The sequence below is a fragment of the Homo sapiens genome, chromosome 12 (assembly GCF_000001405.40).
Source record: "Homo sapiens chromosome 12, GRCh38.p14 Primary Assembly".
NCBI classification, from domain to species: Eukaryota; Metazoa; Chordata; class Mammalia; order Primates; family Hominidae; genus Homo; species Homo sapiens.
The window spans coordinates 124,497,381-124,518,896 of record NC_000012.12 but is presented as its reverse complement, the minus strand read 5'-3'; the positions used below and the strand labels follow the sequence as shown (position 1 = coordinate 124,518,896).

The 21,516-nt window shown below is 57.5% G+C and overlaps 1 protein-coding gene and 1 long non-coding RNA gene across 4 annotated transcripts in view, besides 9 other annotated features; one reads left to right on the top strand and one right to left on the bottom strand.

Annotated features, from left to right (window-relative positions):
* Positions 1-21,516, top strand: part of NCOR2 (nuclear receptor corepressor 2) — a 243,198-nt gene that overhangs the window by 48,716 nt on the left and 172,966 nt on the right. The gene's annotated exons all lie outside the window — the stretch shown is intronic.
* On the bottom strand, positions 2,099-5,675 carry LOC105370047 (uncharacterized). Its single transcript, NR_188646.1, has 3 exons — positions 5,200-5,675; positions 2,956-3,054; positions 2,099-2,434 (listed from the first exon to the last, which is right to left on the bottom strand). It is a non-coding gene; the product is annotated as an uncharacterized LOC105370047 (long non-coding RNA).
* Positions 5,497-6,045: an enhancer, noted in NCBI's record as "OCT4-H3K27ac-H3K4me1 hESC enhancer chr12:124997398-124997946 (GRCh37/hg19 assembly coordinates)". NCBI's record gives its function as "activates a minimal SCP1, AML or CMV promoter by ChIP-STARR-seq in primed H9 embryonic stem cells {active_cell/tissue: H9 hESC(primed)}" and the evidence as "EXISTENCE:reporter gene assay evidence [ECO:0000049][PMID:30033119]".
* Positions 5,560-5,854: an enhancer, noted in NCBI's record as "tiled region #612; HepG2 Activating DNase unmatched - State 5:Enh". NCBI's record gives its function as "activates a minimal TATA promoter and a strong SV40 promoter by Sharpr-MPRA in HepG2 cells {active_cell/tissue: HepG2}" and the evidence as "EXISTENCE:reporter gene assay evidence [ECO:0000049][PMID:27701403]".
* Positions 6,046-6,594: an enhancer, noted in NCBI's record as "H3K27ac-H3K4me1 hESC enhancer chr12:124996849-124997397 (GRCh37/hg19 assembly coordinates)". NCBI's record gives its function as "activates a minimal SCP1, AML or CMV promoter by ChIP-STARR-seq in primed H9 embryonic stem cells {active_cell/tissue: H9 hESC(primed)}" and the evidence as "EXISTENCE:reporter gene assay evidence [ECO:0000049][PMID:30033119]".
* Positions 9,671-10,256: an enhancer, noted in NCBI's record as "H3K27ac-H3K4me1 hESC enhancer chr12:124993187-124993772 (GRCh37/hg19 assembly coordinates)". NCBI's record gives its function as "activates a minimal SCP1, AML or CMV promoter by ChIP-STARR-seq in primed H9 embryonic stem cells {active_cell/tissue: H9 hESC(primed)}" and the evidence as "EXISTENCE:reporter gene assay evidence [ECO:0000049][PMID:30033119]".
* Positions 10,034-10,143: an enhancer, noted in NCBI's record as "active region_7291". NCBI's record gives its function as "activates an Ori minimal core promoter by ATAC-STARR-seq in GM12878 lymphoblastoid cells {active_cell/tissue: GM12878}" and the evidence as "EXISTENCE:reporter gene assay evidence [ECO:0000049][PMID:35858748]".
* Positions 10,318-10,532: a silencer, noted in NCBI's record as "fragment chr12:124992911-124993125 (GRCh37/hg19 assembly coordinates)". NCBI's record gives its function as "represses an EF-1alpha promoter that drives an FKBP-Casp9 reporter gene in an ReSE screen in phorbol 12-myristate 13-acetate-treated (for megakaryocytic differentiation) K562 erythroleukemia cells {active_cell/tissue: K562(+PMA)}" and the evidence as "EXISTENCE:reporter gene assay evidence [ECO:0000049][PMID:32094911]".
* Positions 10,845-11,430: an enhancer, noted in NCBI's record as "H3K27ac-H3K4me1 hESC enhancer chr12:124992013-124992598 (GRCh37/hg19 assembly coordinates)". NCBI's record gives its function as "activates a minimal SCP1, AML or CMV promoter by ChIP-STARR-seq in naive H9 embryonic stem cells {active_cell/tissue: H9 hESC(naive)}" and the evidence as "EXISTENCE:reporter gene assay evidence [ECO:0000049][PMID:30033119]".
* Positions 13,255-14,454: an enhancer, noted in NCBI's record as "CDK7 strongly-dependent group 2 enhancer chr12:124988989-124990188 (GRCh37/hg19 assembly coordinates)". NCBI's record gives its function as "activates an origin of replication core promoter dependent on BRD2, BRD4, P300/CBP, MED14 and CDK7 cofactors, with strong dependence on CDK7, by STARR-seq in HCT116 cells {active_cell/tissue: HCT116}" and the evidence as "EXISTENCE:reporter gene assay evidence [ECO:0000049][PMID:35650434]".
* Positions 13,781-14,368: an enhancer, noted in NCBI's record as "NANOG-H3K4me1 hESC enhancer chr12:124989075-124989662 (GRCh37/hg19 assembly coordinates)". NCBI's record gives its function as "activates a minimal SCP1, AML or CMV promoter by ChIP-STARR-seq in naive and primed H9 embryonic stem cells {active_cell/tissue: H9 hESC(naive and primed)}" and the evidence as "EXISTENCE:reporter gene assay evidence [ECO:0000049][PMID:30033119]".

Genomic DNA, 21,516 nt, shown 5'->3' with positions numbered 1-21,516 from the left:
TCGGAACCAGGCCGGAGCCAAGGCGCCAGAGCTACGCTCAGGTTGGAGGTGCAGGTGCGGCTCGAAGCTGGACAGTCCGGGCTGGGAGGAAGCGGGTTAAAGTGGGAGAAGCGGGGCTGGAGCTCTCTTTCGCCTGCCAGCGAGCGAAGAGCCGAGCTATAAAAAGGCCTCACAGTGTTTCAGCTCCCGAGTGTCGGCTGGAAGCCCGCCAGGGTTACCATGGCGATGAGGAATTATTACTTACTGCCAAGGCTGGGAGAAAAAGCTCGTACTTTTGGCTTCCAAACAAGAGGAGTGGACTTATGTAATTCCCTGTGTTTATAGGCCCAGAGTGGCAGAGGCGAGAACGGATCGCTGGAGGCCCGACGTCTCGTTCACGGCCCAGCCGTGGGGTCAGGCGGCCCCGCACTTGTCGCCGGTGGGCCTTGGCCTGCCCGGGTTTGGGGGGCATCGGGCTGGGAGCCTGGGGGGCCTGGCCTGGCCCTGCAGGGCCTCCAGGGCCGGGATGGGAGTCGTAGTCTCGCGGGAAGGTGAGGCCGCCCTCTGGGGCCGCCCCTCTGCGGGTGTCATCCTGGAGGAAGGATGGGTCTGATGTTGGCTGTGGTGTGCCTCCTGGAAGCCGGCAGCACAGCCTGTGTGTGTGGACTCTGCTGGCCCGCTGGCTGGCACTTTTTTTCTTTTTCTTTTTTTTTCTTGTGAGAGAGTTACTTCAAGTTGTGTTTGGAGCTGACGTGAGCGAGGTTGGTCATGTGCTCGGGTAAGAGAAGTCGCCGGGCTTGGAGTGGGCAGGGAGGTGCAGTGTGGCTGGGTCACCCCGGCCGGGGGAGGTGGGCGCAGACTGGGGTGGGGGGCTGTGGCCTGCAGGCTCTATGCAGGGGCGCTGATTGGGGGCCGAGGAATTCATCTGGAAAGAGCCCCAGTTCTGTCGCTGGAGGTGGTGGCCAGGGCTGGGGGCTGAGTGGCCGGCCGCAGGTCAGCCAATGGGGGCAGCTGGACCCTCCCCTGGCAGCGCAGTGTTGTCGGCCCTGAGCTCAGCGGGATGGTGGGCAGGGCTGTCTCATCGGACGAAGTTGCTGCAGTCACGGAAAAGAGCGCTCGGAGGCGCTGGCCGGGCAGGCCGGGGTGAGGCTTCTTGGCCGGCCCGCGTGGGAGGGGACCCGGGTGGGCACTGTGCTCCTCTCCTTGGTGCACATCCGGCGTCCCTGGGGGGGAGCATGGCGAGCCTTGGGGGCTCAGGGGGCTTCTGTTCCCGGAGTTGACTTCAGGAGGGCATGTGATCGTGGGCGCTCCCGAGGCTCTGCCCTGGGGCTCCGCGGTGGGCTCAGGCAGGGGAGAGCCAGGTGCAGGCAGCGCTGCAGCCCGGCCCCGGCGCCCGGCTCCCCACCGAGGTGGCGCTTGGCTCGGTGCCCATGTCTGGTTTGAAATCAGCGCCACCGGCCCAGGCTTGCCCAGGGACTTGGCAGCGAGGAGCCGGGATAAACACTGGAAAGTTGGAAGGGCTTCCCGAGCTCACAAGGAGCCTTTAGTTGCAAACCGGGGGGATGAGGGAGTGATTTGTCCTGAGGTCTGGGTGCGCCGCGGCCATAGGGAGGTGGCGGGAATGGCTCCTGGGGACCTCTGAGCCCAGGCTGGGGAAGGGAGGGGGCTGGGCTTCCAGGCAATGTTGCTCCTTTGCCACAGACCTGGGTTTGAGTCCTGGCTCCGTCCTCTCTATGCTGTGTGACCTTGGGCGTGTTGCCTCCCCTTTGCAGACCTCAGTTTCCTCGTCTGTAAAATGGGGCACAGTGGGGTCTACACAAGCATGGGACTGACGGGAGAAGGAGCTGCAGTTTTAGGGGGAACGCGGGGCAGACTGCCTGGGTTCCTGTCCTGGTTGGACACTTCCTGGCTGTGTGACCTTGGGCAAGTCACTTACTGTCTCTGAGCCTCAGTTTTCCCATCTGGCAAATGGAAGTTGCATCTTTCCCCACCTCATAGGCTGTATGGCTTAAGGGAGTGAATGAAACCTGCCTTCTAGCTCATAATAGGCTCACAGTTGATAATTCACTGGCACTTTGTTTTCTCGATGCTGACAATACCGGCACCTGGTCTGAGGGTGGGGGGCCCCTGGGATTTCAGCATCTCAGGGCGATGGTATTTATGAAGTTGTAGTGGCCGGACTGAGGTTCCAGTCCTGGCTCGACCCCTCAAGGATGGTGTGACCTTGGGCAAGTCCCGGAATCCCACAGAGCCTCAGTTTCCTTGTCCTTTACCACAGTGGTAGCACTGCAGCCTGCCGGTGTGTCTCGGGAGAGCCTGAGAGAAGCCTGAAGGGGCCCGCACAGTGCTGGCCTGGGTGGGCCTCCGTAATTGTAACCACAAGGTTGGATTTAAGTTCGAGTTCCGTCCATTTTTCTTTTCTTCTTTGCAGAGAGCTCTCATGTTTTGTAGAAACCTGGGTCCAGATAATGGGAGGTAGGTCGAGTGGGTGCTTCCCAGGCTCTGCCTTTGTTTGGGATCCCCAGGTCTCCCCCCATGCCTGCCTGTTCTGCCCCGTCTCCCACTCAGCCTGAGCCCCTCCGTGCCAGCCCTGGGCCAGGCACCCCCCACAGTGCCTGGTGTGGCCTGGGGACTGGCGCGGGAGGGCCAGTTCTCCTGCAGAAGGTGGCAGCCGTCCTGTGTTTGTAAGTGACACCGGATGCTGGGCCAGTGACTGGCTCAGGGCCTCCGCTCTTGGGCCAGCAGGAGCCAGTGGGGAGTTCCCCGGGCGTCCAGGCCCCCCGCACCAGCTGCCCGCTGTCTCATTGTCATGGGGCCTCTCCTGGGACCTCGAGAATGGCCTCCGAAGGCGGGGGGGTTCTCATCCATGTCCCCTTGTCACCCCCAGGGCCTTGGTGTCCACTTGGGTTGGCCACAGAGCTGTGTCGTGGCTGCCCCTGACCTTTGCCAAAGTCCTCAGGGACTCGATTTTCCTACCCGGTGGAGAAGAGTCCTGGGTGAGGTTCAGAACAGAAGTCAGCACCAGGGCCTTTGTGACGAGGCAGCTCAGCATGGACTGGTTGTGATCACTGGAGTCTGCACATGTGATAAGAACACATAGAACTAAATACGCGCACACTCACACATGCACACACATACATGCACACTCACGCACACACCCACATGTATACTCACACGCACACTTGTGAACATACACACCATACACACAGTCACACGAACATGCACACGCATACTCGCACACTCACACTCACATGCACACTCACACTCATATGCACACTCACAGTCGTGCACACACACCCATACTCACATGCAGACACCCACACAGATACATGCGCACATGCACACACACACTCACACAAGTGAGTGCATTGGAAACTGCTGCAATCTGCATACGGCTGGCTATATCCATGCTGCCTTCCTAGTTATGATATGGATGATGAATTGTCGTTGTCTCAGGTTTGTCTCAGGATGTTATTCTTGGGGGAGGCTGGGTGAAGGGCACACAGGATCCTGGGATCTTGATTTTTTTTTTTTTTTCCTTTTTTGAAACCGAGTCTCACTCCGTCACCCAGGCTGGAGTGCAGTGCAGTGGCACGATCTCAGCTCACTGCAACCACTGCCTCCTGAGTTCAAGCGATTCTCCTGTCACAGCCTCCCAAGTTGCTGGGACTACAGGCGCATGCCATCAAGCCCAGCTAATGTTTGTATTTTTAGTAGAGGACTCCCCCATGAAGCTGGCCTGTAACTGAGCTTGGTCCCTTGGACATCCCAGGGGGTCCAGGCAGAGTTTGCTTTGTGCCTCAGGATCACAGAGGGCTCCAGAGCATCCCAGGCTGGGGGACACGTGGTGCCTGCAGGGCCTGTGGGGGCCTCATGACTGAGCTGCTGTAAGGGTGTTCCTGTCATCAGAGTGGCGTGGTGGAGGCTTGTGTCCCGTGGGCATGGGTCGTAGCTTAGGGTCTGGAGAGATGGGGGTGGGATAGGGTTTGGGGGCATCCAGCCTCATGAGCCTCTTCTTTGCTGTTCTTTGGGGCCCCTGATCATGGGCCTGCCTCAGGACCTTTGCACTGGCTATAACCTTTTTTTTTTTTTTTTTTTTTGAGACAAAGTCTCACTCCCCCAGGCTGGAGTGCAGAGCTGTGGCCACCTTTCTTTCAGGTTCAAGCGATTCTCCTGCCTCCTGAGTAGCTGGGACTACAGGCGCATACCACCATGCCTAATTTTTGTATTTTGAGTGGAGACAGGGTTTTGCCATGTTAGCCAGGCTGGTCTTGAACTCCTGACCTCAAGTGATCCACCTGCCTCGGCCTCTCAAAGTGCTAGGATTACAGGCATGAGCCACCACACCCGGCCTGGCTGTAACCTCTTCTGGGAACACCCTTTCCTGAGACCTTCAGCCTCCCTGATATAGGCCTCTGCTAATGGCGCCTCCTGAGAGAGGCCTGATGTCAGTTGTGACTCCCTGTGACACCTTCACTACTCCTTGTAACACTGTCACCACCAGGGTCTGCGGTATGCCCATCACCCCTGTCCCCACCTTGTTTTAGTCTATTTGGACTGGGTGGCTCACAAACAATAGAACTTTATTGCTCACAGTTCTGGAGGCTGGATGTCCAAGACCAAGATGCTGGCAGATTTGGTGTCACATGGGACGAGGGCCCGTTTCCTGGTTCATAGATGGTGGCTTCTCCCAGGAAGAGGGGCAGGGCGGCTTTCTGGGGGCACCAATCCCACTCATGACAGCTCATCACCTCCCAGAAGCCCCACGCTCTGACATCATCCCGTGGTGATTAGGTCTCAACATGCAGATTTTGGGGGGACATAAACATTCACACTCCAGCACCCCTCCATCCAGGATTTTGTTCATCTTTGTCACCGCTGTGTCCCCAGCACTGGGTATGTAGCAGGCACTTAGGAGACAGTTGTGCCTGACTCAGTGTCTTCCACGGGGCCTCAGCCTGTCCCCTCCCCATAAATGGGGCCTCTCTGGTGAAGGAGGCCCTGCATTTTGGGGATGATTTGGAAAACCAGGAAAAGTTCTCATGCTTTTTCTCTGACTGCCACTGGGGTACCCACCAAGCATCCCAAGAGAGCTACCCCTCCTAGATACAGTCATGAGAAGGAACCCAGGGATGCTGTAGGTACGGGGAGTGGGGGAGGGGTGGTGACAGCCTCAGCCTTGTGTGTTGAGGACCAAGGCGAGGTGAGCATTCCACATACCTTAGTTCATTGTGTCCTTCCCATAGCCTTGTAAAGTCGGCACAGAGTCACCCTCTCCTGATAAGGCACAGAGAGGGTAGGCAGCTTGCTCAAAGACACACAGCTGCAGGCCTGCAGTATTACCAACTGAATGGCATTTCCAAGGCAGTTGCTTCTTTGCTCAAGGTCATGCTTAGCATGTTAAGGGGATCATCCTGTTTCATCCCCAAAAGTCCCTCTACTATCCCTATCTTCCGAGGCGGGTCCTGTTTTCTGGGGATCTGGCTCAGAACTGGCAGGGGCCCGTTTCCCAGGCTGAGAGAGTGCGCCTCATTTAGCCCAGAGCAGAGGCCCAGAGATGCCCACACTTCTGAAGGTTGGGGGTCAGTTTCCAGTGTGGCTTAGAAGTTAGAGGGCAGGAGGGGCACCCCAGAGTGGAGGAACTGCCCTCTTCCTCCGGAGTCGTTCATTTGCATGACAATGAGCCCTTTGTTCCTGAGGCCAGCCTCCTTCCCAGGCTAATAACATAATTCCTGGCCTGTGATGTCATAATGGGCCCTTTCTGTGGCTGGGGTCAGAGGCTGGGTGGGCAGCTGTGTGGGCTGGGCCAGGCCTGCTAATAACCAGGGAGGTGGTGATTGCCAGGGGCCTGTGTGCCAAGCTGCCTCCTTCCAGGGTCTCGCTGAGTCCTCCCGAGAGAGCAGCGGGAGGTGGGATTTGCTCCCCTGTTGACACTGGAGCAAGCTGAGCCTCCAGGAAGCCCTCCCTGGCCCCACCGTTTGTCTGGTCCCCCTCGATGAGCTGCTTCAAGCTTCTTGGCCTGTGGAGTGGGGGTGACTCACTGTCAGTTTGGCCCTCGGCCGAGAGGCGTGGGCGTGAGAGTCCCTTGTTTCCTGTAAACTGGAGGGAGGCCAATACCCAGCGGCTACTGTGTTGGGGCCACTCGGAAAGCCAGGTTCAAACCTTGGCCCCACTTGGTCCCCTGGGCATCGGCTGAACTCCCTGTGCCTCCGTTTCCCCCTCTGCTTCATGGGGTTCCGCTGGGGCTTGGGCTCAGAGCTAGGCAGGGAGTGAGCTTTCAGGAAATGGGCAATGTCAGAAAAGGCGGGGGCTGGTGGAGTGGGGTGAGTGGTGATACCCCCAAGAGTTAGGTCCATGTCCTAGTAACCCAGCCCCTGTCAGAGAGAGACCGTATTTGATAAAAGGGTCTTTGCAGATGTGTTTTGAGATGAGCTCATCCTGGGTTACCCAGGTGGGCCCTGAATCCAAAGACCAGTGTCCTTAGAAGAGACAGAAGAGGAGAGAGCAAGACTACATGAACTACAGGAAGACAAAGGCAGAGATTGGAGGGCTGAAGCCGCAAGCCAAGGAATGCCTGGAGCCACCAGCATCTGGAAGAGGCAGAAAGGAGCCTCCCTTTGAGCTTCTGGAGGGAGTAGGGTCCTGCTGACGCCTTGATTTTGGACTTCCAGGCTCCAGAACTGTTAGAGAATAAATTGCTGTCGTTGGCCGGGCGAGGTGGCTCATGCCTATAGTCCCAGCACTTTGGGAGGCCGAGGTGGGCGCATCACTTGAGCCCAGGATTTCAAGATCAGCCTGGGCAACATGGCGAGACCCTGTCTCTACAAAAAGCACAAAAATTAGCCGGATGTGGTGGCGGCTTGCCTGTAGTCCCACGCTGAGGCAGGAGGATCAATTGAGCCCAGGAGGTCAAGGCTGCAGTAAGCCATGATTGTGCCACTGCACTCCACCCTGGACCACAGAGTGAGACCCTGTCAAAAAATAATAAAAAAATAAAAATAAATCACTGTTGTTTTAAGTTTCCTGGTTTGTGGTCATTTTTATGGCAGCCCTAGGAAATGAACACAGCTGGCGACGCCAGTCTCTGGAGGTGGGGGAACTGGCCCTGGCGGGGGTTGGTACTGTTCCCCACTCCAAGCCTGAGGGTGCAGGACAAGTTTGGGTGGCCGAGAACCCCTTTGTGCCTGGGAGTGCATGAAGCCCCATTCGGGGAGTCTGGACTTTCCAGGAAGGACGCCTTGCTTGAACCTGCCTTTCTTGCCGAGAACCAAATCCACAAGGCCCTAGACCCCACCTGCCGCCTGCTGTTCGCTGTCCCCTCAGACAGCCCTGCTAAGGGGACAGGACCCAGAGGCAGGAGGCTCTCGGATTCTACCCCGGCTTTGCCCCAGGCCCCGGACGCCCTTTCCCCACGCGTCTGGTGACTCCTGCAGAACCCGGGTTGCACTCATCCCCCAGCAAGCCCCAGGTTTGCCGGGTGCCCTTGACAAATGGAGAAACTAGGCCCAGAGAGGGCAGGCTACTTGGCAGAGGCCACACAGCTCCTTAGTGGCACTGACGGCCTTACAGTCTCGCCACGGGGGCTGGCACTGGGGCTTCCAGGAGTGGGGATCAGAGTTCTCGGCCACTTGGAGACCTGGAGTGGAGCCGGCCGGCTGTGTGGACCTGGGGTCAGTTACCTGATATTTGGGACACTCGGCTGCCTTTGATGGACCTGGCCTGGTGTAGGTGGTACCCCGAAATCTGGGCTTTAAGCACACCCTGTCTGTGCTCTCAGCCTCAGTCTCTCTGTTTGCAAACTGGTCTTTGAGCTTCAGCTCCACGTCTGCGATTTTGCTCTTAGCATGTTCATGCATTCAGCAAACATTTATTGAGCACCTGCCATGTGCAGTGTGCTGGGACTCTGGGGGACACAAAGGTGTGACTCTTGCTTCATGGATCTTGTGTTTGGGGCTGTGGGGGGAGAGGAAATGCAGCAGCACAGGTTGGAGTCCAGATTCCGGGTTCTGATGAGGGAGGTCACGGAGCTGGGCCGTGAGGGAGGTGAGGATGTGGCCTTTCGTCTCCTCCTGGGCCCGGGGTGGACAGTGTGCAGCAGGCTCTCAAGTGGACATGGAGATGCCCACAGCCTGTCCGCGGCGGCCCATGGGCACCTCTGGCTGGCAGGACCTGGCCTGGTCTTGTGAGCAGGGACATGGGATGGGAGGGCTGCAAGGCCTGGCTCCAGCCTGGTGGGAGAGACAACAGTCTCCTCTAACCTAAGCAGCAGGCATGGGTATGCTGGTGACAGGGTCCCAGGACACAGTGGGTGAGCTGGACACAGGAGGTGGCTCGCCTGGGTTTGCATCCAGGCTGTGCCCTTGTTGGCTGTGTGACCTTGGGCAAGTTGCTCGGCCTCTCTGTGCCAGTCTCTCCAGCTGTAGAATGGGGATGATAACAGAATCCCTCACGGGGGCGCTGTGAGGAAGGAGTTGGTGCCACCAAGTGTTGTGTTGGGGACTGGCTGTGCCAGTGGCTGCGAGGTGTTCCCTCCCGTGGCTGCTCAGGGCAGCGGCGTGGAAGATGGAAGTGGCATTTGCTCATCTTCCCGCTGCCCTGCTCCTCCCTGTGCAAATAGCCTCAGTCTTCCACCTAGGAAACGGGAGCTGTAACAAGCACATGGCCCCATGGAGGTCGGGAGGAGAAGCGGAGCTGGGGTGCATCAGTGCCTGTGGGGTGGGGGCTTGGGGTCGCCACCTGCTCCAGATTGAGGCCTTGGCTGCCCCCGAGGCCTGGAACAGCCACTTGTTTTACAACCCAGGAAACTGAAGGCCTGGCAGGGATGGCCCCAAGACATGCCCATGGGTACAGCCCATGTGGTGGCTCCTGGCTGCAGACAATGCCTCTTTTTTCTGGCCTGGCGGGAGCAGCCCAGGCTTGCTCAACCTGGCCTAGGTTTATCAGCACATTTGGTTCTGCGGTGCGGCTAGCAGACATTCCCTCCAAGAGAGATCGTGATGTTCCTCCGGAAACCGAGGTCCGGAGGCTCAGGTTACTGTGGGGGGCGGCCGTCGGGGGGTGTGTCTGCCTCTGAGAAGTGACCCAGATCAGAGCTGGGCTGTGCTGGGCAGTGTTCATCTGCAAAGCTGCCGCCTGCTCTTTCACCCATGAGAGCCACTGACAGCTCAGGAAGGGACTGGGAGCCACCCACTTTCCCTTCAGGGTGACACAGGACAGGCCTCTCCCTGGCTCCTGCCTGGCCCCTTCCCCCTACACTGAGTCTGGCCTGGGTCTCCCATTCCATTTCTCTGGCCTCTTCTTGGCTGGCTTTGGACCTGTCCTCACCTACATGGATAAGGGACCTAGCGGGTGGAAGAGATCTGATTCCAGGGAGATCCTATCTGAGAGTTTGTGTTTTAGGAGGGTTGCTATCTTAGGTCTCTTGGTTGCAATGGACAGACTCCCTCTGCCTCCTGCATTTAGCACAAATAGTTCAAGTAACTAAAAAACCTCAGAGAAGCTTCAGGCACAGTTGGGTCCAGGTGCTCCCCACTTTCAGTCCCTGTTAGCCTGAGACTAATAATTGCAGTTCAGTAGCCCCAGTGGAAGGACAGCTTCTTGTTCCCAATATTCCAGCAAATATCATGGGAATGAGTTTTGTTGCCTCAGCTTGAGAGTTCAGAGTTAAGCCCCCCCCCCCCCCACCAAAGCCAGTGCCACTTTGGCTGGAGGGCTGGGTCAGCCTCCCTGAGACCCCAGGACTGAGGGTGCAGGGGGGGTGGTTGCCCAGGGAAATTGGGGTGTGGCATGCACGGAGTGGGGCCGGGTGGGCAGAGACACTGTGTCTTGCTCCCTGTGTTGGAGATGGGGCCAGGTTGGGGTCCCTGCCTGGCCTGCCTTTCATGGCCAGTGTGTGTGTGTCCCATTGGGGTGGAGCAGGTGGCGCCGATGAGTCACTGGGTAAGTTTCATTCCTGTTATATTTAATAGTTGAGGGCCTCTTGGGTCCCCCCTCCAAGCCGTTGCTGGCGCTCCACCTCCTGTCCCCCCATCAGCCCGCTTCAGCTCCCCAGCCTTCCCTCACCTCTCTTGTGGCGTCCAGTGACCACGTCATAAGCCACAGGTCATGTCCTGGCAGCCCCTGGGCTGTATTTGGCTGTCAGACTGATTTATTGGGTTGGTTTTATAGTCAGTGTTTTTTTAGAAATATCGGGAGATGTCTCAAAATTGGGCTTCTTGGCTTTGCTGGAAAGATTTGGATGCCGTGGACCCCCTGCCCCACGTGGACCCTGTTCCAGCAGGGTCTGGAACATCAGGAATGTTTGGGGGCCACATTCCTGGGTCTCTGCTCAGTGTTGGCTGGGGCTGAGCTGCGGTCACCCCCTTCCTGCGGGCCCCTCCCCTCGGCGTGGTGCCTGCCTGGGCCCTTGTGTTCCGGCAGGGTCTTGGGTATCTACAGCTCTCCTCTTGCTTTTTGTCCCTGCCCTTCTTCGGGTGGATCATCCGATCCCAGGTAGACGCTTAGCTTCAGCCGTCGCCACTCCTGGGCGCTGAAGCATTTGTTTACTGTCTGAGCTCCTGGCTGCAGGGGCCATAGGACCTTTTGGGTTCTTGATCACTGTCCCGTCATCAGACATTTATTGATCAATGCCCCTGGGGTAATTGAATGGCCCAGATGCGTCCACTTCTGAGCATTGGACAGAGCTGACGTAAAGTGGATTCTTCCCGTTTAGCCTGGGAGCCCAGGCGGCAGTGGGGTCCTCCCATCCAGGCCCTTTGTGGTCCAGCCTGGCCACTTGCTGGGGGCTGGGATGGGTTGGGGAGGCAGGAGGGGACCCTTGTTGAGTGGGTGGGCTCTGTCGCCCTGGACGCTGCTGCTGGCACAGCTATTCTTAGCAGCAGAAACATTTGTCCTCATTCACATGTGGTGGATGCCTCCAGGGATCTACCCTGAAATACTAGAGGCGACCCCATAAATTCCTCAGAAAGCCATCCTTGAGGGCCTGCGTGCATGGAGGAGAAGCGGGAGGAGGCGTTTCCGGCAGCTGCACAGCTGTGGATGTGTTTGCCAGATGTTGGAGGCAGGGAAGTCGGTGGGAACCTTGCGGAGGCCGCCTTCACACTCGGGGTCTGGGCATGGACATGAGCGGGTGGGACAGAGACTGCAGACTGGTGGGCAGAGAGAAGGGCTCTGGCCCTGGCCTCAAGTTTTGGGGTCCAGGGGCCCCTCTGAAGCAGTCAGCCCTTCCCTGGGCCCTGGCCTTGAGGCCACCTGGGTTGGAGGCAGCTGGCGAGGGGAGAGCTCAGCTTATCGGGCGCTTCCGAGGGATCAGAGGTGCAAGTCGCTGCCCAGCCATGCCCTGTGGCCGTCATGGGGTCCTGAGGTGAGGTGGGCCAGAGACAAGGCCTGGACGCATGCTGCACTCGGCTCTGAGGGCCTGCTGAGTGCCGGGGCCACTGGCAACACTTTGCCTTTTATGGGGGCAGCCTGAGCCTTTGGGGCCACCGCGGAACAACACAAGCACAACACTAGCAATCAGGGAGGTCTCCCTGGAGGAGGTGTTGTTTAATTTTAAATTGTGGTAGATACATATAATGTGAAATTTACCTTCAGCCATTGGTAAGTAGATAATTCAGTAGTGTTAAGAATAGCCATATTGTTTAGCAACCGATCTCCAGCACTTTTCATGTGGCAAAACTGAATCGCTATATCTGTTAAACAGTAACTCCCCCTTCCTCGCTCTCCCCAGCCCCTGGTCCCAGCCATTTTCCTTTTTGTCTCTATGAATTCAGTGACTCTGGCCACCTCCTACGAGTGGAATCGCACAGTGTTTGTCCTTTTGTGGCTGGCTTCTGTCACTCAGCATAATGTCAGGAGCTGTGTTCCATGTAGTCTGGGGTTGTTGGTTCATTCTTAGCCATGAAGCAAAACGGATGAAGACCCAGGACCCCAACCCCGTCCGCATCCTTTAGAAACCCCAGGTCCCACCGCCTCTCCAGGTGCTGTCCAGGAGCTCAGCCCCAGCTCAGCCACCCAGCTCCCTGAGCCCCACTCTGGCATGGCCTCCCTCTCTCCTGCCGTCACAGCCCAGGGGCACGGGGTTAAGTGGTTTGCCCAGGTTACACAGCTGGTGCCAGCGTCTCCCTCCCCACTGCCCAGACACCAGCCTCCTCTCTGACTCCTCACTTCCCTCTGCAGAGAAGATTGCTGTTGGGAAGGCCAGATGGAGGAGATGGGTCTAATGGAAAACACGTCCCTCCTGGGGCGCCCGGAACTTAATGAGGAAGAGGCGGCAGAACCAGGCGTAATGTTTGTGAAGTACGCAAGTGGGGAGGGCCGCTCCCCGTGCAGGGCTTCTCGGGTGGAGCCACAGGAACCTGGAGTGCAGGGAGGGTTCGTCCTGCTGTGGTTTATCTCCCTCTCTTCCTTTTAAAATTAAATGGAAACAAAAAAAAAAGGAGGGGAGGAGGAAGTGATTTTGAGCATACTTCGCCGTGGCGGGGGAGCAGGGCCGAGCTGGCTGCCGTCCAGCGGACAGGAACGCTCCAATTATATTGGAAACAGTAACGGGCCTCCTCGGAGGCTCCGACCAACGCCACTTCCCTTTCTGTTCACTGAGGGCGGGCGCCTGGGCTGGCAGGGCCGTGGGGAGGGCCGGGGGTTTGGGCACCCGTATCCTGACTGTGTGGCCTTGGGCAAGTCAGTTCACCTTTCCGAGCCTCAGTTTTCTGATCTGTTCAGTGGGGCGAATTGTGTTTGGTGAATGGAACTGGAGCGTCTGCTGCCTCTGGTGTTAGCATGAGATAAATGTGGCCTGGAGTGGAGGTGGGGCCTGCTTTGCCTGGGGTGAAGGGGTGCAGGAATGGGGAAGCTGGGGGGCTTGAAGCAGAATGTGGGGAATGATAGAGGCTTTCCCAGTGGCCGAGGAGCCTCTCTAGAGGAGGGGAGAGATGGGGCTGGTGCTGGGGGTGGGTTTTGCACCTGGCCTATTTTCCCCTGGAAGCAGGAGCAGGACGTGGCACTGGGGAGACAGGAATAATGGGCTGGGGCATTTGGGCTCACTTGAGAATCACAGGCTCCTCCCAGACTCAGTTTGCCTATCTGCAAGGCGAAGATAGCCATAGTGACTGGCTTGGTTAACATCATCGCCATCACCTCCCTCCTTCCCCCGAGTGGTCGGCGTGGCAGAGGGCAGTAACAGCCACGCTCTCCTTCTGGGGGCTCTTCTGTGGGCCGAGAACTGCACCGAGATTCTTGTAGCTCTTTTTTCCAGTGAATCTTTCCAAGTGAAGCTCAGAGAGGTCAGGACCTCACCCAAGGTCACACAGCTGTGGAAGTGGCGGAGTTGGGATTTGGAATTGATCAGCACGTGGGAGCCCTTTGGAATGGCAGTGTGTCCACAGGAGGTGGCTTGGTTGAGAGGGCACTGGCTCGTTTCAGTGACCGAGGGGCTCAGCCCACAGCCTCCATAGCTCCTGCTCCTACAGGTGCAGCCCACAGCCTCCATAGCTCCTGCTCCTACAGGTGCGGCTAAAACTGCCGAGGAGGAGCCCTGCCTGGTGGGGGAGACAGCGGTAAACAGGTGGCTGTGGCACAGGGGGCCGAGTCCATGGGAGTGGCAGGGGGAGCGGGCCATGGCACCGGGGGGCCCCCTTGGGGTTGGGGGAAGGTTCCAAGGAGGTGCCAGTAGAGGCAGGAGCTGAAGGCTCAGGAGAAGACAGACTGAACCTGCCCCATTGAGTCCAACCAGCCAGGCAGGGCATGTAAACAAAGGTAGCTGAGTAGGAGGGGACGTGGCAAATAGGGAAAGCCGAGCCTATCTGGTGTAGATAGCCTCTGCCCACTTCCAGCCGGCCATGGCTGGAACCTCAGTTTCCCCTGTCAAACGATTTTGTGGTAAAATACGTACAAAATATACCATTTTGGCTATACTAAAGTGAACAATTAGTTTGCATTTAGGACATTCACGGGTTGTGCAACCACCACCTCTGTCTAATTCCAAAACAGTTTCATCCTCCCAGAAGGAAACCCCAAACCCATTAAACCGTCACTCCCCTCTCCTCCCTCCCCACAACCCCTGGCAGCCTCGGGCCTTTGTTCTGTCCTGGGAATCTGCCCCTCCTGTGAAGTTAATGGAATCATGCAGTGCGTGGCCTTTCTGAGCGGCTTCTTTGCCTTTTGTGCCATGTCTTCAGGGCTCACCTGCGTTGTGGCTGAGTCAGCGCTTACCTTTGCGTGGCTGAATCGTAGTCCATTGATGGACAGACTGCGTTTGTTTCATCTGTTTGTCAGTAGATGGACATTTGGGTTGTTTCTGCTTGTTGGCTGATGTAAATAGTGCTGCTGTGGGCATTCTAATCCTTTCTGTTTGTTTTGTCACCAGTTTTCCGTTCCTTGGGGATGTGTAGCTAGGAGTGGCATCGCTGGGTCATGGGGTAATTCTGGGTTTAACCTAGTGACTGTTTTCCACAGTGGCTGCACTGCACATCTGACATTCCCACCCGCAATGTGTGAGCAGCCCTCATTAGGAGAAGCCAGACATTCCAAATTTCCTGTGAAATCCCTCTTTATAAGAGCTGGTCTCTGGGGCTTAGCTGAGCTGACCCTGGGGTGAGGAAGCAAGTCCCAGGAAACTGCCCAGAGGGAGCAAGTCTGGGACCTGACGAGACGCTCCGGGCACCCCAGCTTTCTGGCTTTAACCTGGCCCACGTATCTCTACCCTGTACATCTACCCGGGGTCAAGGAGGAGGATTCCCAGGCTGGAGTCCTCTCGGCCTTTCTCCTCGAACCCAGCTCAAGGGGAAGATGTGCTGGTTTATGCTGAAAAGGGAGAAGTGGTGCCAGGTGGGGGACTCGGGAGAGTTGAGACCCTCCCACGCTGAGTCTGGGTTTGGGACTGGAGGCAGTTTTCCCTAGGGTCCTTCTTACTCAGCAGGCTGGGACTTGGGGAGCAGTTATATGGGTTTGGGGGTTCCTGAAGGCGACAGTGCCTTTCTGTGTCCCTCATGGAGCTGGGCATGTGGGAGGGCCTGGGAATATTAGCAGGATGAAGACATGCTTGGCCCTGGGGATTGGTTAGAAATGTAAGACCAGAAAAACCCGGAAAATGAAGCAGCTAAGTTGATACCCATCTGGTGATGAGTGTGTGCATCCATCCGCCCATCCATCCATCCATCCATCCATGCATCCATGCATCCATCCGTCCATCCATCCATCCATTCGTCTGTCCATCCATCCATCCATCCATCCATCCATCCATCCATCCATTCACCCGTCCATCCATCCATCCATCCATCCATTCGCCCATCCATCCATCCATCCATCCGTCCGTCCGTCCATCCATCCATCCGTCCATCCGTCCGTCTTCCATCTATCCATCCATCCATTCGTCCATCCATCCATCCATTCATCTGTCCATCCTCTGTCCATCCATCCATCCATCCATCAATCCATCATCCATCCATCCATCCATCAGTCCATGCATCCTTCCTCCTTTCTCTATCCATGCATGCATTCATCCATCCATCCTCCTTTCCTCCCTCCCTTCCTCCTTTCTCCTCCATCCTCCCATCTCTATCCCTCTTCCATCTTCTCCCTCCATCCAGCCACCCCCTGCTGAGCACCTGGGTGGGGAGTCTGCCAGTTGGGCCAGACCTGTCACTGGGTGTGGGCCGTGGTCAGCAGGGCCTTTTGCCTTTTGTCTGACTTGGTCACTGCTGTAGCTGTGCTTGTACAGTGTTTGCACATAACAGATGCTGAAATAATTCTCTAATTGATGAGAATGGGTCAGCAACCGGAGTTTGGGATGGGTTTGGCTTGCCTGGTCTCAGCTGGAGGGCAGACCGCACCCTTGTGGGTGGCACCCGGGATTGAGCTCTTAGTATTTGACCCTCAGCCCCTCCGGCAGAGCCAACGACAGGCTGGGGTTGGGTACCTGGCTCTTCCTTAGGGAGTGGAATGACCTTTCTGCCAAGTGAGGGCCAAGGAGTCTGGCCTCATTCCTGCAGGCCTGCCGCTGTGCATGGGTGGAGGCCCGTTTCTCTAGGGCCCTGACAATCGTGGCTGTCATCATTCAGGGTTACAGGGGCCCTTTTACCTGTGCCCCACACTCAGACACCTGTGCCCAGTGCTCCTCGACACAGGGGCAGCTACAGTGTCCTTTGAACACAGAGACGCCAGAGGCAGACTTGCCACAGGAGACCGCACGTCAGCCTTGTTTAAAGTGCACCAGCTGTGTCCTTCCTAGCTCCCTTGCAGTGAACACCCCAGCTTTCTGGCTATAGCCAGAAAGAGTGACCTCACATGCCTTCGCTCACCCCACTCTCCCCATCCAGGCCTCCCTGCTGTCCTCACACACCAGGCTCGGTCCTGCCTCTGGGCCTTTGCACCTGCTGTGCCTGCTGTGTAGACTCCCTCCTCTCCCCGGCGCCTTTGCATAAAAGGCACCTCTGGTGACGCACCCCTGACTGCCCACTTTCAAAATGTACCCCCATTCCCTGCCTGCCGCCTCCTGGTTCTGTTTTTCTCCATCGTGCTAACACCTTCTGCCATCCTCTTACTCCCGTCTCACCTGCTGGAATGGCAGCTTCACGAGGTGGGGGATTTGGGATCAGTAATTCACTGCTGTATCCCCAGCACCTTTCACACAGTAGGTGCTTAACAAATCGTGGTAGACAGAGTGAGCCACCAGGCCGGGCAGCAGGAGCTCTCTCTTCACCCCCTTCCTCATTGGCTGTGGGGGCCCCTCTGGACTGGGCTGGGCGAGGTGCACCCTTGCCACGTCCCACCGGCTTTCCGCATCTCAGGACTCACTCCAGAGCTGGATTCCTGAGCATCCGTTCTGCGCCAGGAGTCCTGCTGAAGGTGGCCATCAGATACTTGGCCAGTTCCCCAGTTTTTACTGCACGCCAGAAAGTAAACACCCAAGGTGTCAACAGCTCGACCCGTGGAGCTGGCGCTCCGCAGCGTCTTGTGCGCACATCCCAGAACTGCTGTCCCAGAGTTCCCCCCGGGCCGGCTTCTCCTCGGGCCAGACTGGCTGCAGTGGTTTTGTTTAGTAAATATTTATTAGATGCCTACTGTGTGCTGGGCTCTGGGGATACAGCAGTGAACAAAACAAGTATTTCTGGAGCACCTCCTGAAGTAGGTAGTGTTCTCCCTTAAGGTACGTCTGCGTGGAACCTGGGAGTGCGGCCTTGTTTGGAAAGGGTTTTTGCAGATCACATTAGTTAAGATGAGGTCACAACCGGATAGGGGAGGGCCCCAAATCCAATATGACGGGTGCCCTTAGAAGAAGGGGAGACACAGAGACAGGAGATGCAGTGGAAAGGCTGCGTGGAGATAGAGGCAGAGGATGGCACGATGCATCTACAAGCCAGGGAACACCGGGGGTTGCCGGGGCCACCAGAGCTGGAGGAGTGAGGAAGTAGGAAGGGCCTCCCCCAGAGCCCCCAGAGGCCGTGGGGCCCTGATGACAGCTGGATATGGACTCGAGGCCTCCAGAACAGTGAGACAATCCATTTCTGTTGCTTGAAGCCATGCAGTCTGTGGTGGGGCAGCCGAGGGCGCTAATACGCCTCGTGTGTGCCAGGTGCCGTGCCTCTCGGTGGCTGTCACACAATAGGTGCTTATTCCACAGTGAGTGGAACAAATACCTACTGAGCGGTGAGGGAGGCCGTATGTGGCTGAGCTGCAGGGCTCCTGGGGCCTGCCTGTCTTCGCAGGGCCAGGCTGGGACAGTGGAGGCACGGCCTGTGTTCCCGCCGTGGTTCCGCCCACCCCAGGGGGGCTTTGTGCCTTGGGCTTCTCAGAGTATCAGAGGGTTCTGTCGAGTGTGTGTGTGTGTGTGTGTGTGTGTGTGTGTGTGTGTGTGTGTGCGCGCGTGCGCGCGCGCTCGTGCCGTGGGCGCTCTCTGCCTGGCAGGTTGGTTTTTAATCCCGAGGCTCCCCCACCTGCCACAGGTTCTTCCAATGTCAGCACCCATTAGTTCCCAGAACATTTCAGGCACGTGCGGCGCAGAGCCCCGCGTGCCTTTCATCCTCCCCACAGCCCGCGGCTGAGCGCTCCGGGCACATCCTGTAGCTCCCACACCTCCACCAGCCCCCGCCTGCCCCTCACCCTGAGGCTGTAATTCCACCCTCCCCAGGTCTGAACCAGGCCGCTCAAGACACAGAAAATCTATGGAATGTGTCTCGGTGTGGCCTCATCCTGCCGGAGCTGGAGAGGAATGCAGGGGTGGGAGGCCCCATGGAAGCTTCCAGGGCCTCCCGGAAAGGCGCCTCTGCCCGGCCAGGTGGGAAGAGGACACAGGTGTGGTGGTTTCTGGCATCACTGCGTTGCTGGCATGCACCTCCGCTGGGCAGAGTCATTCAGTGTGCACCTACTGTGTGCCAGGCACCAGAAGGGGCTCTGGGTCCAGCAGGAGGCAAGGCGGACAGCCAGTCAGAGCTCACGGCCTGAGCTTTCCGCTGTGGATTTGGAAACCTTACCAAAGCCCGCAGTGGCCGGGAACAGGGAATGTGGCCCACTTGGCTTCTGCTGCTGCCTGGCAGAGTGCAGTGGGGGCGGGGGGCACTTGTGTGTTTGCTACCTCCTGGCAGGCATGGCCCAGGGACAGACCCCTGCAGCCGTGCATGGGGAGCCCCTCCACCTGCCTGCGTGGGATCTGCAGCCCTCCTCCAGCTGGTTCAGGGGCCAGCAGGGGCCCTGGGGCTGTGGTTGGTGGCTTGGATGTGCAGAGGCCTGCTTGGGCCCTTGGTGTCCCCGTTGGGTATCCCGGCCACCTGAGATCTACAAGTCCCTTGACCTCACCCAGGCACCGTCTTGTTCTCCTCGGAGGCCTGACCCTCCTGACTCTGCATGGCTGAGCACCTGCTGTTCCCCAGGCACCTCTCGGTATGCCACAGGCACAGGGTCCTCGCAGCGGGCCTGTGCAGCGGGACTCCTGCAGCGAGCTGTTTCCTCGGCCTGCAGAGTCAGCCTCCCTCCTGACTTTCATCCACCTGCCCATTTCCCCTTCTCTGTCGCTGTTGCCCTGATCCCCCAGTGTCCCCTCTCTTGGACATTTGCAGGAGCCTCCCCAGGTCTCCCTGATCCACTCTTGCTGTCCCCAGTGCCTGCTCGTAAAACACTGACCCTTTACTCTCCCCCGCAACCACCTTCTGTGGCTCCCCACTGCCCTGAGAACAAAATCCATCCTTACCCGGGCCCATGGGGCCCTGAATGACTCTGTCCCCACTTCCCCCCATATTCACTCAATGAATTTCTCAAACATAAACGGCACCTGTGCTCACCCCCAGGCCCTCGCTCACCCCTGGGCCTGTGCTCACCGCCTGGCGGGGGCTCACCCCCAAGCCTGCGCTCACCCCCCACCAGCTGGCGCTCACCTCCCTGCTCTTGCTCAGCGGCGCCTCCAGCTGGAGCACTCTCCATCCCCTCGCCTTCACCCTCTGGAAGTTCTTCTTCCTCGTATCTCCTGGCTCTCCCCAGGGCTGGGCAGAGCCCCTGGCCTGAGACCCTCCAGGGCCTGGACCCCGCTGGGTTCACAAGAAGTCCCCAGCACTAGCCCGGGGCTCAGCAGGGACCACAGTGTGTATGTAAATAAATGAATGCCGCCCACCCTTTCTGACCCCACCGCAGCCAGACGCAGCGGCGACATGGGGCGTTTGTGTCTGAATTCCCCCTCCAGCCCGGATCCATCCTCAGAACCTCCTTTGGCCAGGACCAGATCCTGGAGACCCTGGAGGGGCTCCCTCGTCCTCTCCTGCCCCCATCTTTGAGGAAATGATGTCATCATTTTTTTTGGCATTCACTTCCAAACCTGCTGATGAAAAGTCAAAGCTTATTTTTTTCCCTATTCGCAGTGCTGCACACCCGCCTCCTCTATCAAGTTTCAAAACCTTTGCATCACTGCCCTGTAAAACCCTGTAACCATTAGCAGGCCTCATTCCTGCCTCACCCTGCCCTCCTGGTAGCCACCAGTCTCCTTTCTGCCTCGTGGATGTGCCTGTTCTGGACATTTCATATCCGTGGAGTCAGGCAGTTCGTGGCCTTTTGTGTCTGGCCTCTTTGGTTCAGCATGACATTTTCTGGTTATGTGTGGTGTAGGACACAGCCGTCCTTCGTTCCTCTTTATGGCTGAGTAATACTCCATCGTAGGGATGGACTGGAATTTTTGCTGGGTCTGCCTTTTGGCTGCTGTAAATTCTGTTGCCATGAACATGCATACCGTGTTTTGTTTGAGTCCCTGTTTCCAGTTCTTTTGGGTGGATGCCTGGGAATGGAATTGGTGGGTCATATGGTTATTCTATGTTTAAATTTTTGAGGAACCGCCAAACCGTTTCCCTAACATTTGTTTTTTTTCGAGTTGGCAGGAAACGTGGCTCAGGTCGGGAGGGGTTGGAAACTGGGTTTCCTAAGCTCGTGGTGAGTGAGGGTGGCACGAGGTTACTGGAGTTGTTCCCTGTTCAGGCCCCACCGGCATGTGAGGCGCTGGGTGGGGGGCTGGTGGGGGAACCCCTTGGTAGGTGAGGGGCCGAGGTTCCAGCCCCATGCTCCGGGGTGGGCACTGTGTAAATCCCAGGCAGTGGAAAGCCAGCCAGCCAGCTGCGGGGCACTTTAGGACGGTGTCACCCTCCCTGGTCTCTGGTGCCCGTGTGCACCATGGTAAGCGTGTGCCAGGGGCCTGTCACCCCCAGGCAGCATCTCACTGGGCAAAGGAGGAAAGAAAAGCTGTGGGTAAATGAGACCTCTCGGCCACCTTGTGCAACTCAAAATCCAATAGCAATTTGGAAGTTGCCCGTGGTGCCCTTGAAAGAGGGGCAGACCTCGGGAACAGCACCCTGCAGAAGTGACGGCCTTATCTCCTCCGAGAGACCGGGAACTGTTTAGCACCTAGAGAGAAGGGAATAGAATTTGCTTTGCTGCATGAGATGACCAGGGTCTGCAGACTTTGAGCCGAGCTCTAGCAGGAAGAATTTTAGAACAGGGCTGGGTCCTGGTGGCCACAGCTGTTCTCTCTCCCAGGGCCAGACTCTTGTTTCTGGCTGCAGAACGGATGTCTCATTGCTCTTGGGGCCGGGCAGGGCTAGCTGTGCCTTGCCTCCCCATCATAGCGTCACTGGTGACTGGGCTGCAGCTGCATCATTGACAGTCCTGGTGACAGCAGTATTAGGCATTCTGGTTTGCTGAGCATTTACTGTGTGCTGGGAGCTGCTGAGTGCCTGCTGTCCGCCACCCGGCCTTTCCTGGGGTCCTTGCAGGAGGACTTAGGCAGTCGGAATATGCACAGACGTCTTCATGTGTGTGGGAGTGCGTTTGTGATTCCGATGCCTTCCTATTTATTCCACATAGTACTGGGTTTCTGTATACCTATGCTGATAATAAGCTTCTCTTGTATGTAAAGTTATGCCTAACTGAATGAAAGTGACAGGCCCGGGGCTAGACGGCTGTCGCCTGGGTAATCTCTATAAAAAAGTCCCTACGCGGGGGTGGCACATGAATGTCTGATGTTTAGGGAACACTGTGTGTTTGGAGGTTCAGAGAGGGCAAGTGACTTGC